General features: G+C 46.4%; 1 long non-coding RNA gene across 1 annotated transcript, besides 2 other annotated features; it reads left to right on the plus strand.

The window, feature by feature from the left end:
- The first annotated feature begins 4,557 nt into the window (after positions 1-4,557).
- Positions 4,558-8,637, plus strand: LOC105375262 (uncharacterized). The gene is made up of 2 exons (XR_927228.2): positions 4,558-5,849; positions 8,235-8,637. It is a non-coding gene; the product is annotated as an uncharacterized LOC105375262 (long non-coding RNA).
- Positions 11,459-11,960: an enhancer, noted in NCBI's record as "H3K4me1 hESC enhancer chr7:44951201-44951702 (GRCh37/hg19 assembly coordinates)". NCBI's record gives its function as "activates a minimal SCP1, AML or CMV promoter by ChIP-STARR-seq in primed H9 embryonic stem cells {active_cell/tissue: H9 hESC(primed)}" and the evidence as "EXISTENCE:reporter gene assay evidence [ECO:0000049][PMID:30033119]".
- Positions 11,961-12,460: an enhancer, noted in NCBI's record as "H3K4me1 hESC enhancer chr7:44951703-44952202 (GRCh37/hg19 assembly coordinates)". NCBI's record gives its function as "activates a minimal SCP1, AML or CMV promoter by ChIP-STARR-seq in primed H9 embryonic stem cells {active_cell/tissue: H9 hESC(primed)}" and the evidence as "EXISTENCE:reporter gene assay evidence [ECO:0000049][PMID:30033119]".

Genomic DNA, 14,794 nt, shown 5'->3' on the forward strand with positions numbered 1-14,794 from the left:
TTTAAATGCAAATTTACACATATATGGGTGTATAAATATATATATGTATATATATTTGTATTACATAACTAAGATCCAACCATGCATACTGATGTGTAACATGAAATTTTTATTTTATGCACAGGATTAGACTGATCAAAATCTTTGGTTCATGATACACTCTCATTGTTAATCCATTTATTCATTCATTCATTTGCTAATAATGTTTTCATAAAACTTCTTGAATTACCAGCCAACTCAAGAACTAGAACACTGACAATAATTCAAATCTACTATATGTCTTCCTTCCATATTTTATTCTTCCCCCACCTCTCAGGTGGCCAAAATCCTAAATTATTTTTAAAAAATCATTTAGTTTTATTTTTTAAACATTATAAAAAGAGAATCATATTATACATTGTATTAGTCAGCGTTCTCAAGAGAAGCAGAACCAATAGGATATCTATCCATCTGCCTTTTTTTTTTTTTTTTGAGATGGAGTCTCACTCTGTCACCCAGGCTGGAGTGCAATGGTGCAATCTTGGCTCACTGCAACGTCCACCTCCCAGGCTCAAGAGATTCTCCTGCCTTAGCCTCCTGGGTAGCTGGGATTACAGGCGCACACCACCACGCCTGGCTAGTTTTTGTATTTTTAGTAGAGACAGGGTTTCATCATGTTGGCCAGGCTGGTCTCGAACTTCTGACGTCAGGTGATCCACCAGCCTTGGCCTCCCAGAGTGCTGGGATTACAAGTGTGAACCACCGAGCTGGGTGTCCATCTGCCTATCCATCTATGTATCTATCTGGGAGATTTCAGTAAAGAATTGGCTCACAGGCCGGGCACAGTGGCTCATGCCTGTAATCCCAGCACTTTGGGAGGCCAAGATGAGTGGATCACTGGAGGTCAGGAGTTCGAGACCAGCCTGACCAACATAGTGAAACCCCATCTCTACCAAAAATACAAAATTAGCTGGGTGTGGTGGCGCATGTCTGTAATCCCAGCTACTTGGGAGGCTGGGGCAGGAGAATCACTTGAACCCTGGAGGCAGAGGTTGCAGTGAGTGAAGATCACGCCATTGCACTCCAGCCTGGGCAATAAGAGCGAAACTCCATCTCAAAAAAAAAAAAAAAAAAGAATTGGCTCACATGATTATAGGGGCTGACAAGCCCCAAATGTGCAGGACGGATTGTTGGGCTGGAGATGCAGGGAAGAGTTGATGTTAGATGTTGCAGCTTGAGTCTGAAGGCCTTCTTGAGGCAGAATTCCCTCTTTGGGAACTTCAGTCTTTTCTCTTAAGGCCTACAACTGATTGGATGAGGCCCACGCAATATGGAGGCTCATTTGTTTTCCTCAAATGCTACTGACTTAAATGTTAATTCATCTAAAAAATACTTTCACAGTAACAAGACTAGCGTCTGACCAAAAACTGGGTGCCATGGCTCAGCCAAGTTGATGCATAAAATTAACCATTACATATGCTTGATGGACTTGATTTTTTTCACTCCACATTATGGTTTAAAAGTTTACCCATGCTTTTTGTGTTTAGCTAAAGTTAATTAATGTTCACCACTGTATACTATTTCTTTTCTTTTTTTTATTTTTTAGACAGAGTCTCACTTTGTTGCCCAGGCTGAGTGCAGTGGCGTGATCTCGGCTTACTGCAACCCCCGCCTCCTGGGTTGTATATTATTTCATCATGAGCAAATATCACCACCATATCATCTGCCCATGGGCATAGGGTTGTGAATGTTCTCACTCAGTGGAACTTGTCTCCTGCGGCAGATGTGTGGGGCTTGTCATAGGTACGCACCTGAGAGTGGTTTTCTGAGTTGTCAGGCATGTGAATTTCAGAGTTTGTGAGAAAATGCCCAGTGGTTTTCCCATATCATTATAACTTTTCACTTCCCTCATGTATATATAAGTGATGTCTTTAATCCAGAACCTTTTCAGCTCTTGGCATTGTCAGATTTTTAATTATTGCCAGTGGAATGAATGAAAAGTACTATCTCTTATCTTGGTTTACATTTCCCTGATTACTGAGGAGGCCAAGCATCCCTCTGAGTGCCTGTTGGCTGTATGTGTTCCCCCTTTGGTGAAATGCCTCTTCATGTCTTTTGCCCATTTAAAAAAATAGGGCTAGGAATTCTGTACCTGTTCTTTTTTTTTTGAGTCGGAGTCTCGCTCTGTCGCCCAGGCTGGAGTGCAGTGGCGCGATCTTGGCTCACTGCAACCTCCGCCTCTGGGGTTCAAGCAATCCTCCTGCCTCAGCCTCCCGAGCAGCTGGGACTACAGGCACCCACTACCACGCGCGGCTAATTTTTTGTATTTTTAGTAGAGATGGGGTTTCACCATGTTAGCCAGGATGGTCTCGATCTGCTGACCTCGTGATCCACCCACCTTAGCCTCCCGAAGAGCTGGGATTACAGGCATGAGCCACTGTGCCCGGCCACATGTTCTTTAAATATTTTTTTAATTAAAAGTTTGTTGGCTGGGCGTGGTGCTCATGCCTGTAATCCCAGCACTTTGGGAGGCCAAGGCGGATGGATCACCTGAGGTCAGGAGTTCGAGACCAGCCTGACCAACATGGAGAAACTCCGCCTCTACTAAAAATACAAAATTAGCCGGGCATAGGGGCACATGCCTGTAATCCAAGCTACTAGGGAGGCTGAGGCAGGAGAATTGCTTGAACCTGGGAGGTAGAGGTTGCGGTGAGCCGAGATCGTGCCATTGCACTCCAGCCTGGGCAACAAGAGCAAAACTCCGTCTCAAAAAAAAAATTTTGTTTTGTTTTGTTTTGTTTTGTTTGAGACAGAGCCTCCCTCTGTCACCCAGGCTGGAGTGCAATAGTGCGATCTCAGCTCACTGCAACCTCTGCCTCCTGGGTTCAAATGAATCTCTTGCCTCAGCCTCCCAAGTAGTTGGGATTATAGGCATGCGCCACCATGCCCGACTGATTTTTGTATTTTTAATAGAGACGGGGTTCCGCTGTGTTGACCGGGCTGGTCTCAAACTCTTGGCCTCAAGTGATCCAACTGCCTCTAATTTTTAATTTTTTGAGGACAGAGTTTTACTCCGTCACCCAGGCTGGAGTGCAGTGGTGTAATTACAGCACTGCAGCCTTGAACTCCTGGGCTCAAGTGATCTTCCTGCCTTAGCCTCCTGAGTAGTTGGGACTACATGCATGTGTCACCATGCCTGGCTAATTTTTATTTTTATTTTTAAATTAAATTAAATTTTATTTTATTTTGAGACAGAGTATTGCTTTGTCGCCCAGGCTAGAGTGCAGTGGTGCGATCTCGGCTCACTGCAACTTCCACCTCCTGGGTTCAAGTGATTCTCCTGCCTCAGCCTCCTGAGTAGCTGGGATTACAGGTGCCCACCACCACACCCAGCTAATTTTTGTATTTTTAGTAGAGATGGGGTTTTACCATGTTGGTCAGGCTGGTCTGGAACTCCCGACCTCAGGTGATCCACCCACCTTGGCCTCCCATAGTGCTGGGATTACAGACGTGAGCCACCATGCCCAAGCCTAATTTTTATTTTTTAATTTTTTGTAGAGACAAGGTGCCCAGTTGCCCAGGTTGGTCTTGAACTCCTGGACTCAAGTGATCCTCCTGCCTTGGCCTCCCAAAGTGTTAGGATTACAGGTGTGGGCCACCTCACCCTGCCTGTACCTGTTATTAGTGCAATCATTTGTTGATTATGTCTTCTCTTATTTGTAGCTTATCTTTTATTTCCTTTAGACTATTATTTAAAAACATTCTTTAAACATTTTTTAATTGTAGTAAGAACACAATGTATCTACCCTCTTAACAGATTTTTAAGTGCATAATACTGTATTGTTAACTATAGGGAAAATGTACAGAAGATCTCTAGGGCTTTATATGCATTGATTAGCAATTCCCCTTTTTCCCCTGCCCCTAGCCCCTGGTAACCACATTGTAATGGCTTATTTCACTTAGCATAATGTTCTCAAGGTTCATCCGTGTTGCTGCATATTGTAGAATTTCCTTTCTTTTTAATATGTCATTGGATTTACACACCACATTTCCTTTGTCCTTTCATCCATCAATGGACATTTAGGTTATTTCCACAGCTTAGCGATTGTGACTAGTATTGCTATGAACAGTGAGTGCAGACATCTCTTCAAGATCCTGATTTCAATTCTTTTGGATAAATACCCAGCAGTGGGATTGCCAGATCATATGGTAGTTCTGTTTTTAATTTTTTGAGGAGAGGTCAAAGCAGGTGTATCTCTTGAGCCTGGGAGTTCAAGACCAGCCTGGGCAACATGGCAAAACTCCGACTCTACAAAAAATACATGCACACCTGTAGTCTCAGCTACTTGGGGGGCTGAGATGGGACGGTCAGTTGAGGCCAGGAATTCGAGACCAGCCTGGGCAACATGGTGAAACTCTGTCTCTACTAAAAATACAAAAATTAGTCTTGGCAGGTGCCTATAATCCCAGCTACTGGGAGGCTGAGGTGGGAGGATCACTTGAGCCCAGGAGGCAGAGGTTGCAGTGAGCAGAGATCATGTCATTGCACTCCAGCTTGGACGACAGAGCGAGACTCTGCTTAAAAAAAAAAAAATTTTTTTTTGAGGAACCAAACCTCCATACTGTTTCTATAGAAACTGCATGAGGCTCTTCAGGATATTCTTAATAACAGCCTATTAATTTACCAATATATCACAAAGGATGTACAGTGTATCACTGAATTCCCGGTTCTCGTCTCAGAATCACCCAGTGAATCTGTCACATTCTGATTTAATTACCTGGGATGAAGCTGGGGCATTGCTATGTTGCAAAAGTTCTCCAATTGAGTCTAATGTGCAGCTGGAGTGGAGAACCATGAACCACTTCTAGCTGTTGAGAGGCTCCTCAATTTGAGTAAGAAATAAAGAAAATGTGTATTTATTAAGACAGCACTCAGGCAGTTTCAGCAAGGTGGACGGGGAGTGGAGCATGAGCATGGGAAACCTTCCAGCATCGAATCAACTGTGTAGAAGCTGAGAAGGATGCACCTGCAGGTGGGAGCTGGGAGGTAGGCCCTGGGTCCCGGTGACTCTTTGGTGTAGTTTACAGCTGAGCAGTTCCCGCCTGCTTCTCAGCAAAGGTCCCTTATGCATCTCTCATGTGCTTCTCCCACTCATCTTGCAAGACTCTGAAGTGTGAGTGCCATCTTTTCAGTTAAGTGAGCAGTATATGGAAACTTTCTCATGGGAAAGAACCGCATGTGGCGCACCCTGGACGTCACTCCTTGGCTGGTCCTGGATGCCCACCTCACCCCACCACACTCATGCCCCTCCCAGGAGGCGCCTTCTTGACAGTGTGGTCCTTCCTGGCTGACAATGACTTGGGTTTTCGTCGCCTCAGTTCCTGGCAGAGCTGTTCCCGTGCCCCGGTGCCACTGTGTGCACCTGCTTTAATCACCTCCCACTGCAGCTTCTGTCCTGCCACCCCTTGGGCTTCCTGATCTTTCCTTCATGCTTGCCCTTGAGCATCTTATGGCCTCTTTGAGCTTTCACTGTTTCTGCAATGGGGCCATTTCCATATCGACAGCTCTAGTGTTTCTGTCACTACTGGATTCTCCCATTCGCTTTGTGATGCATCATGGCTCTAGCTACACATCCTGCCTCTGTCTCAGACTCCATGTGTCTGTGACCAGCCCCCTGACTCCCTCCAGCCACTCACCCTGGCTGTCCCCACCATCAGGGGCCTGGCCACACCATCTGCTGCTGAGCTGCAGGACATGGCTGATCAGAAATGGAGCACAACAGTCAGGGGCAGAGCCCATTGACCAAAGCCTTGAATATACCATGATTTCCAAGATGTGTCTTGCTCTTCTGTCTTCAGAGTACAAAAAGGTAAACTCCTCTCAGGCAAGGATTCTACTTTCTCTCTTTTTGATAAATTAGCAGCATAGTTATTTTCCTGCTTGCTAGGTTAGATAAGCAGTGAGATCTGTCACCTCTTTGTCCTCCTCTGGTTGAATTGCTTCTTTAATTCAAGTTTTAGTTTAGGAGGTAGAACTTTTTTTTTTTGTTTTTTTGAGACATGGTCTCATTCTGTCGCCCAGGCTGGAGTGCAGTGACACGACTACAGTCCACTGCAGCTTCTACCTCCCGGGCTCAAGTGATCCTCTCACCTCAGCCTTCTGAGTAGCTAGGACCACAGGTGCACACTACCATTCCTGGCTAACTTTTTTATTTTTTATTTTGTAGAGAGGGGGTTTCCCAGACTGGTTTCAAACTCCTGTGCTCAAGCAATCTTCCCACCTTGGCCTCTGAAAGTGCTGGAATTATAGGCACAAGCCACTGCACTCGGCCAAATATTTTTAAGGTATATTTTATTAAAACCTTACTAAAATATTACAGAAAATTTCCGTTGTTTTTTTTTTTTTTTTTTTGAGATGGAGTTTTGCTCTTGTTGCCCAGGCTGGAGTGCAGTGGCTCAATCTCGGCTCACTGCAACCTCCACCTCCTGGGTTCAAGCAATTCTCCTGCCTTAGCCTCCTAAGTAGCTGGAAATACAGGCACCCACCACCATGCCTGGCTAATTTTTGTATTTTTAGTAGAGACGGGGTTTCACCATTTTGGCCAGGCTGGTCTCGAACTCATGACCTGAAATGATCTGCCTGCCTTGGCCTCCCAAAATGCTGGGATCACAGGCGTGAGCCACTGCACCTAGCCAGACAATTTTAAGTGAACAAAATTTCATACACAATCTTACCATCCTAGTGCACCTGTTGTCTTCATTTTTGTTTTTTCTGGTTTCCTTCTACTTTCTACTAACATGTACATCTGTTTTTACATTGTAATTATAGTATGTAGCTGCATATAGTATAATGAAACAAAATTGTTTTCTGTTTTTCCTCCTGCTTTACATTATTGAGAAAACATGGTGCCATGTTTAATGTTGTCTTAGTGATTACCAATTTAAATGAGCTGATGTAATATATTTGCATGCTCTGTGGTTGAAGATTTAGGTTGTTTCCAGGTTTTTGTTTGTTATAAGTAATACTCATATGGGCAGCTGTTTTCACTCAGTAAATCTGCAGGGCTGACCACCAGGTCAGAGGCGTTGGAAGTTGGCCTTTCCACAGTGGTTTCGTCCACATCCTCTGGCGAACGTTGTTGATCGCTGAATCTGCTTTCCCACGACTGTAGAATCCCCCGGCCCCACAACTATAGTTTGATCACTTCCCTCCAAATGTAGATGTTAAGAGATCAGCAACGAATAACTATATGGGAAAACGTGAGGAGAAAATAGAAATACATGCGGGAAGAAGAATCGGGACTACAGGTTGAATATCCCTTATTTGAAATGCTTAGGACCAGCAGTGTTTTGGATTTCAGATTTTTGTGGATTTTGGAATATTTGCATATACATAATGAGATGTCTTGGGAATGAGACTCAGGTCTAAACATCAAATTCATTTGTTTCATGTATACCTTATACACATATCCGGAGGATAATTTTATACAGTATTTTTCACAATTTTGTGCCTGAAACAAAGTTTGTATACATTGAACCATCATCTCAGCCACCCATGTGTGACATCATGTCATTGCTCACAAAGCTTCAGATTTGGCCGGGGTGGGTGGCTCACACCTGTAATCCCAGCACTTTGGGTGGCTGAAGTGGGTGGATCACCTGAGGTCAGGAGTTTGAGACCAGCCTGGCCAACATGGCGAAACCCCATCTCTACTAAAAATATAAAAATTAGCTGGGTGTGGTGGTGTGTGCCTGTAATCCCAGCTACTCGGGAGGCTGGGCTGGAGAATCTCTTGAACCCAGGAGGTGGAGGTTGCAGTGAGCTGAGATCATGCCATTGCACTCCAGCCTGGGCGACAGGAGTGAAACTCTGTCTCAAAAACAAACCAACCAACCAACCCCAAAACTTCAGATTTGGGAGCATTTCCGATTTTGGATTTTTGGGTTAGGGATGCTCAACCCATATTCGCTCTCCCATGTCCCTGCACACGCTGTGCCATGGGGCATCCTTTCCTGCCGTCCTGGCTCCCTGTCTGACTTCTCTTATTCTCTCCAGGTTGAGTTTGAATTGCCTCCTGTGTGACCTGGGCCCAGCATCTGTGCCGCACTGTGGTGGTCTTGCTGCAGGGTGCAGGCCTATCCTCACTAAGTCCCACTTAGCATCTCTAGTTAAGACTTGAATAAAACACGATTATAAAGTGTGCAGATCCACAGATTGACCCAGCTCTTGTTTGCTCCCTGTCTGGTTCCTCCAGCATCGTATCTATGAAGAAAGTGGCTGAAATGCTCTGGCTAGAGGATGGTCTCCACTGTGTAAAAGCTTCCCAGGCAGCTGCAGTCTTAAAACAATTGTCTGCAGAATGCTCAACGTGACCCTCTGCTTCCTGGAGTTTCTTCAGGTACAAATACCTCAGACCCCAGAAAGTGTGTTCCCAAACCGCTTCTCATGAACCATTGAATATTCAAAAGAGAGCTAAATTTCAAGCCTACTATATAAAAGCGTATCCCTGTAACACATGTGCCATAATACATAACTTCTACTTTTGTCAGTCCTTACCATCTACCTCTCTGAATTTTCATGAATTTCAATTTCACAAGGGTAATTGTTTTACATATACAGGCAGTAGCATACAATAAAATACTCAGTATGTGTGCTGAGCACAGTGGCTTCTTCCTTTTTTTTTTTTTTTTTTTTTTTTTTTTTGAGAGAGAGTTTCCCTCTTGTCACCCACTTTCCCTCTTGTCCACTGCACTAGAGTGCAGTGGCGACATCTCTGTTCACTGCAACCTCCGCCTCCCGGGTTCAAGCAATTCTCCTGCCTCAGCCTCCCAACCAAGTAGCTGGGATTATAGGCATGTGTCACCACGCCCGGCTAATTTTTGTATTTTTAGTAGATACGGGGTTTCTCCATGTTGGTCCAGCTGGTCTCGAACTCATGACCTCAGGTGATCCACTTGCCTCAGCCTTCCAAAGTGTTGGGATTACAGGTATGAGCCACCGCACCCGGCTGGCTTGCACTTGTTATACAAACGCGTTGAGAGGCCAAGGCAGGAGGATTGCTTGAGGCTAGGAGTTCAAGACCAGCCTGGACAATATGGTGAGACCATATCTCTACAAAAAATAAAAAATTGTCCAGGAGTGGTAGTGTGCACCTATAGTCTCAACTACTTGGGAGGCTGAAGCGGGAGGTTTGCTAGAGCCCAGGAGTTTGATGTTACAGTAAGCAATGATGGCAACACTACAACATTGCCACTTCAGCTTGGACAACAGAGTGAAACCCTGTCCCCCTGAAAACTCCCAAAAACCTCAGCATAAAAATAAGTAAATAAATAAATAAAATGTGCAGACAAACTAAAGCCAGCCGGAACGGCTAATAAGAGAGAAAATGAATCAAGATTTGAAAAAAACACAGGAGGCTGGGTGAGATGTGAGATGGCTCACACCTGTAATCCCAGCACTTTGGGAGGCTGAGGCAGGAGGATCGCTTGAGCTCAGTAGTTTAATATCAGCCTGGCCATGGTGGAGAAACCCCGATTCTACGAAAATTTAAAAAAAAAAGAAGAAGAAGAGGCTGAGTATGTGGTGCGTGCTTATGGTCTCAGCTACTCATGAGGCTGAGGTAGGGAGATCACTTGAGCCTAGACATTTGAGGCTGCAGTGAGCTGTGATTGCGTCACTGCACTTCAGCCTGGGTGACAAAGTGAGACCTTGCCTCAAAAAACAAAGCAAAACAAAACAAATCCACAAGAGACCCTGGCAAAGATCTCTGTGCGAGGCAGAGAACTTCAGTGGTTCAGCTGCACCCCCACAATGTTTATTAAAATTAATCTATGAACATAGACAAAGATTCAAAGGCAGCACAGAAAATGATTTTATTCGTAGGCATGGTAGAATTGTGGGTGCCTTTTTCCTTTTCCTTAAAATTCCTATGTTTCCCAATTTAACTACTGTGCAAATACTACTAATAAAGAAATCCTGTATGAAAGACAAGATTGGAGAAACCAGGTTGACAGCAGCTCAAGAGAAGGAGGCTCAGAAAGGCCTGGCCTCAGGCTCTGTCATTGTGGGTGGGGCCCGCAGAGCAGTTCAGGAGGATGAGTCCAGACTGGGCAACACAAGAAAAAAGGAAGACCACAGAATGGGACAAAATAATTGCAAAGCATACATCTGATATGGGATTAATATGCAGGCTATCATATAAAGAATTAAAGCTGAGGTTGGGCATAGTGGCTTGTGCCACCATGGATCACCTGAGGCCAGGAGTTCAAGACCAGGCTGAGCAACATAGTGAAACCCTGTTTCTACAAAAGATAAAAATAAAAATAAGGCCAGGCACGGTGGCTTCCACCTGTAATCTCAGCACTTTGGGAGGACAAGTGGGCAGATGAGTTTCAGACCAGCCTGGTCAACATGGGGAAACCTCGTTTCTACTAAAAATACAAACATTAGCCAGGCATGGTGGTGCACACCTCCTGGTCTTGGGAGGCTAGGCCCGAGAATCACTTGAACCCGGGAGGTGGAGGTTGCAGTGAGCACTCCAGCCTGGGTGACACAGTGAGACTTTGTCTCAAAAATAAATAAATGAATAAATAAAAATAAAAAGTAGAAATTAGGTGGGTGGGTATGGTGGCTCACGCCTGTAATCCCAGCACTTTGGGAGGCCGAGGCAGGTAGATCATGAGGTCAGGCGTTCGAGACCAGCCTGGCCAACACAGTGAAATCCCATCTCTACTAAAAATATAAAAAATTAGCCAGGCATGGTGGTGGGCGCCTGTAACCCCAGCTACTTGGGAGGCTGAGGCAGGAGAATCGCTTGAACCTGGGAGGCAGAGGTTGTGGTGAACCAAGATTGCACCATTGCACTCCAGCCTGGGCAACAAGAGTGAAACTCCGTCTCAGAAAGAAAGAAAGAAAGAAAGAAAGAAAGAAAGAAAGAAAGAAAGAAAGAGAGAGAGAGAGAGAGAGAGAGAGAAAGAAAGAAAGAAAGAAAGAAAGAAAGAAAGAAAGAAAGAAAGAAAGAAAGAAAGAAAGAAAAGAAAGAAAGAAATTAGCCAGGCATGGTGGCACACGCCTGTAGTTATAGCTACTTGAGAGGCTGAGATAGGAGGATTGCTTGAGCTCAGAAGTTGGAGGCTACAGTGAGCTATAATTGCGCCACTGCACTCCAGCCTAGGTGACAGAGCAAGATACTGTCACTAAAAAAAAAGAAAAAAAGCGGCGGGCGCGCTGGCTCACGCCTGTAATCCCAGCACTTTGGGAGGCTGAGGCGGGCAGATCACGAGGTCAGGAGATTGAGACCATCCTGGCTAACACGATGAAACCCCGTCTCTACTAAAAATACAAAAAATTAGCTGGGCATGGTGGCGGGCACCTGTAGTCCCAGCTACTCGGGAGGCTGAGGCAGGAGAATGGCATGAACCCAGGAGGTGGAGCTTGCGGTGAGCAGAGATGGTGCCACTGCACTCCAGTCTGGGTGACAGAGCAAGACTCTGTCTCAAAAAAAAAAAAAAAAAAAAAGAACAAAAACTCAACAATAAAAAACCCACATAACCCAATTCAAAAATGGCAAAGGACCTGACAAAGCATTTCTCTGGAGAAGACATACAAATGGCCTACAGCACATGAAAGGACCTAGTGCTCACTTTGCATAAGTCACCGACTGAATACTTAGGATATATATCTGTTATACTTCAATTAAAAAGTTTAAAATGTATTACGGGGACCCTGGGGGGTCATTTAGATGGTAATGATTTGGCTGACCAAACTTCTAGATCCTAGAAATCCATGCGTCTTGATTGCCAAACTTCAGGCCTGGCCTTGGAAGAAAGACGTTGGCAGGAACCCAAGGAGGTTCAGGGGTCAGGGGTCAGCAGTCAGGGTGAATGGGGATCCAGGCTGCAGCCCATACAGCCAGGGCTAGTGCTGGGCTCAGTCCCAGCAGGAAGTCACAAGGCCAGGAGGCAGATGGCCTCTGCAGCAGGGCAGAGTGGGGCTGAGGCCCGGGCCCGTGTGGTGTCTCAGTCTGGGGTGACCGTTGAAGCTGCCCGTGTCCTGCCCTGATCTCTCATGGCTTCTGGCCGGTGGTCCTGGGCCTGCAGCCAGCAAGGCAGAATGACAGGCAGGGACTGTGTCCCGGTGGGTTCTTGCCAAGAAGGGACCCAGTCCCCCACTGTGGCCCATGCCTTTCCATCTGTGACTTGTGACCCAATTCCATAGTCTTCCCACGGACCTGGGAAATTGCTTCATTCCCAATAATGGGAACTTTTTATGATGACTTTGCTGGTCTCAGAGGTATGCCAACTCAGCTCTCCAGAACTATAGGGAGAGACTGACACCCAGAGAGATGGCATGATTTGTCCCTGGGGGCAGAGTGAGAGAGAAGAGCCAGGGTTTCTAACAGCTGGGGCTCTCAGGCTCACTGCCCACCCCAGGGAGGGCAGTTTCAACTCTGCTCAGGACGGGTCAACACCTCTCCAAGTGCATTGTGGGCTGAGCCATATCTGAGAAACTGTTTAAAAGGAGGCATAAGAACATCATTTCTTTTAATTAAAAAAAAAATCTCAATTGCAAAACAAAATTGAGAGCCCAGGGGCTCATCACATTCCTGGTGCTGATGAAGTACAGAACTACAAGGCGGGGTTCTGTGCTTAAGGTCAGCTTTCTCTGCCATCTTCCCGACCCTTGCATCTACTTTCTCAGCTCTGGACAGTGTGGGATATTAGGAAAGGGCCGACTCCCATCCCATTTCCAGAAGCTGCAGTCTCTGCTCCTCACCAGCTGTGTGTTCTTCCATGTGGCTTGGCCAGATTCAGCAAATAGAGGCACCAGGAAGCACCAGGCACCCTGCTGCCCTCCCTTCAGCCTCGGGGGACATAGGCCCTGGCATGAGGAGGACCTGCATAGGCTTTCAGGAAGGAAAGCAGGAAATGGGCCCTGAGATAGGAATGTTTCTAAGGGCAGAATGGCCAGGCCGAGGTGAGGCAGGTCCTGGATCTGTCCAGGCCTCTTTCCTACCTGCCCTCCCACCCCCAACCCCCAGGCCCAGCCCCCGCCTTCAGATCAGCTGTCTACCTGAAGCTCCTTTCCTCCTGGCTGGTCACTGACTTCTGGCCACCACCAAGCTCACCACGTGGCTCTCTTTACAAACCTGCTTCACACACAGGCTGCTTCACACGCATGGTCCATTAGAGAGCCTGCTCCTGATGGCACACTTTGGGACACAGACACAAGCTGTCATTTGTTCAGACAGTATGGGAGTGCTCAGATTTAGAACCACTCAAAAATCATCCACAGTTATTGAGCACCTACTCTTTGTTGGATTCTGGGTCAGTAAAACCTGTATAGGACGGAGGTAGACAGGCTGTGAGAGTAGGGTGACTGATGGAATCCCGTAGTCGCTGTGTCCAGCCATCTAACTGAGCTGTAGGTAGCGTGGTAACTCAGTTTGTATTCAAAATATTGCTTCTCTGGCCAAGTGCACTCTGAGGTCCAAACAGTGACTGTATAGATGAGCTTTGCTTTTCTTTTCTTTTTTGTTTTCTTTTGAGACGGAGTTTCTCTCTTGTCACCCAGGCTGGAGTGCAGTGGTGCGATCTTGGCTCACTGCAACCTCTGCCTCCTGAGTTCAAGCGATTCTCCTGCCTCAGTCTCCCGAGTAGCTGGGATTACAGAGTGTGCCACCGCACCCAGCTAATTTTTATTTTTACTTTTAGTAGAGACGGGGTTTCGCCATGTTGGCCAGGCTGCTCTCGAACTCCTGACCTCAGGTGATCCATCCTCCTCAGCCTCCCAAAGTGCTGGGATTACAGGCATGAGCCACTGCACCTGGCCTTTAGATGAGCATTTCAACTATGCCAGGCCCTCTGGCATGGCTCCCAAGCCCTGAGGGAGATGGTTTGGCCTGGAGCCCTGAGGGAGATGGTTTGGCCTCTTCTCCTGGCCCTCCAGCCTCCACACACTCCTGCCCTAGCTCTGCCTTCTCACCTGGAGTTGCCTCTTCCCACCCCTGGTTGTGCACCTGCCCCAGGCCTTCACCCATGGTCTCCTCAAACCCTTTCCCTCCCTCCCTCTTTGGGTGCCTTCAGAGCCCAGTTTCAATGACACCTACTCCAGGACCCCTGATCTGCCTGAAAACTTGGTGGCTAAAAGCAACATCACATTGATTTTGCTCACAAATCTGCAGTTTGGCAAGGCTCAGAGGGGATGGCTCAAGACTGAGGCTGGAGCCATCTGACATCTCACTCACTTGCCGGCTGGCTTTTGATGGCCTGCTGCAAAGGGGCAGAGTCGCCTCCATTTCCACATATTCCTTAGCCACACACTAGGCTGCCCCAGACTGGAGGCCACAAAAGGGCCTCTTTCTTTCCATGCCTTCGGTTTCTTCCAGTGAGCATGCATGATTTCTATATTTTAAAAGGACAGAAAATAAAACATAATTCTAATTTCCTTTTACTTTCATGTCAGGTTTACATCTCTAATTGTAATGTCTTCAAACCATGGTATCTGAACATCCCATATTTTGCCCACTCATCTTCCCAGGTACCATTTCTAATTATTTGATAAAAATAGTAGAGTGGGCTGGGCATGGTGGCTCACACCTGTAATCCCAGCACTTTGGGAGGCTGAGGTGGGTGGATCACCTGAGGTCAGGAGTTCGAGACCAGCCTGACCAATATGGTGAAACCCTGTCTCTACTAAAAATATAAAAACTAGCTGGGCCTGGTGGCATGTGCCCGAAGTCCCAGCTACTGGGGAGGCTGAGACAGGAGAATTGCTTGAACCCGGGAAGTGGAGGTTATAGTGAGCCAAGATTTT

This window comes from Homo sapiens, chromosome 7, assembly GCF_000001405.40.
Source record: "Homo sapiens chromosome 7, GRCh38.p14 Primary Assembly".
NCBI classification, from domain to species: Eukaryota; Metazoa; Chordata; class Mammalia; order Primates; family Hominidae; genus Homo; species Homo sapiens.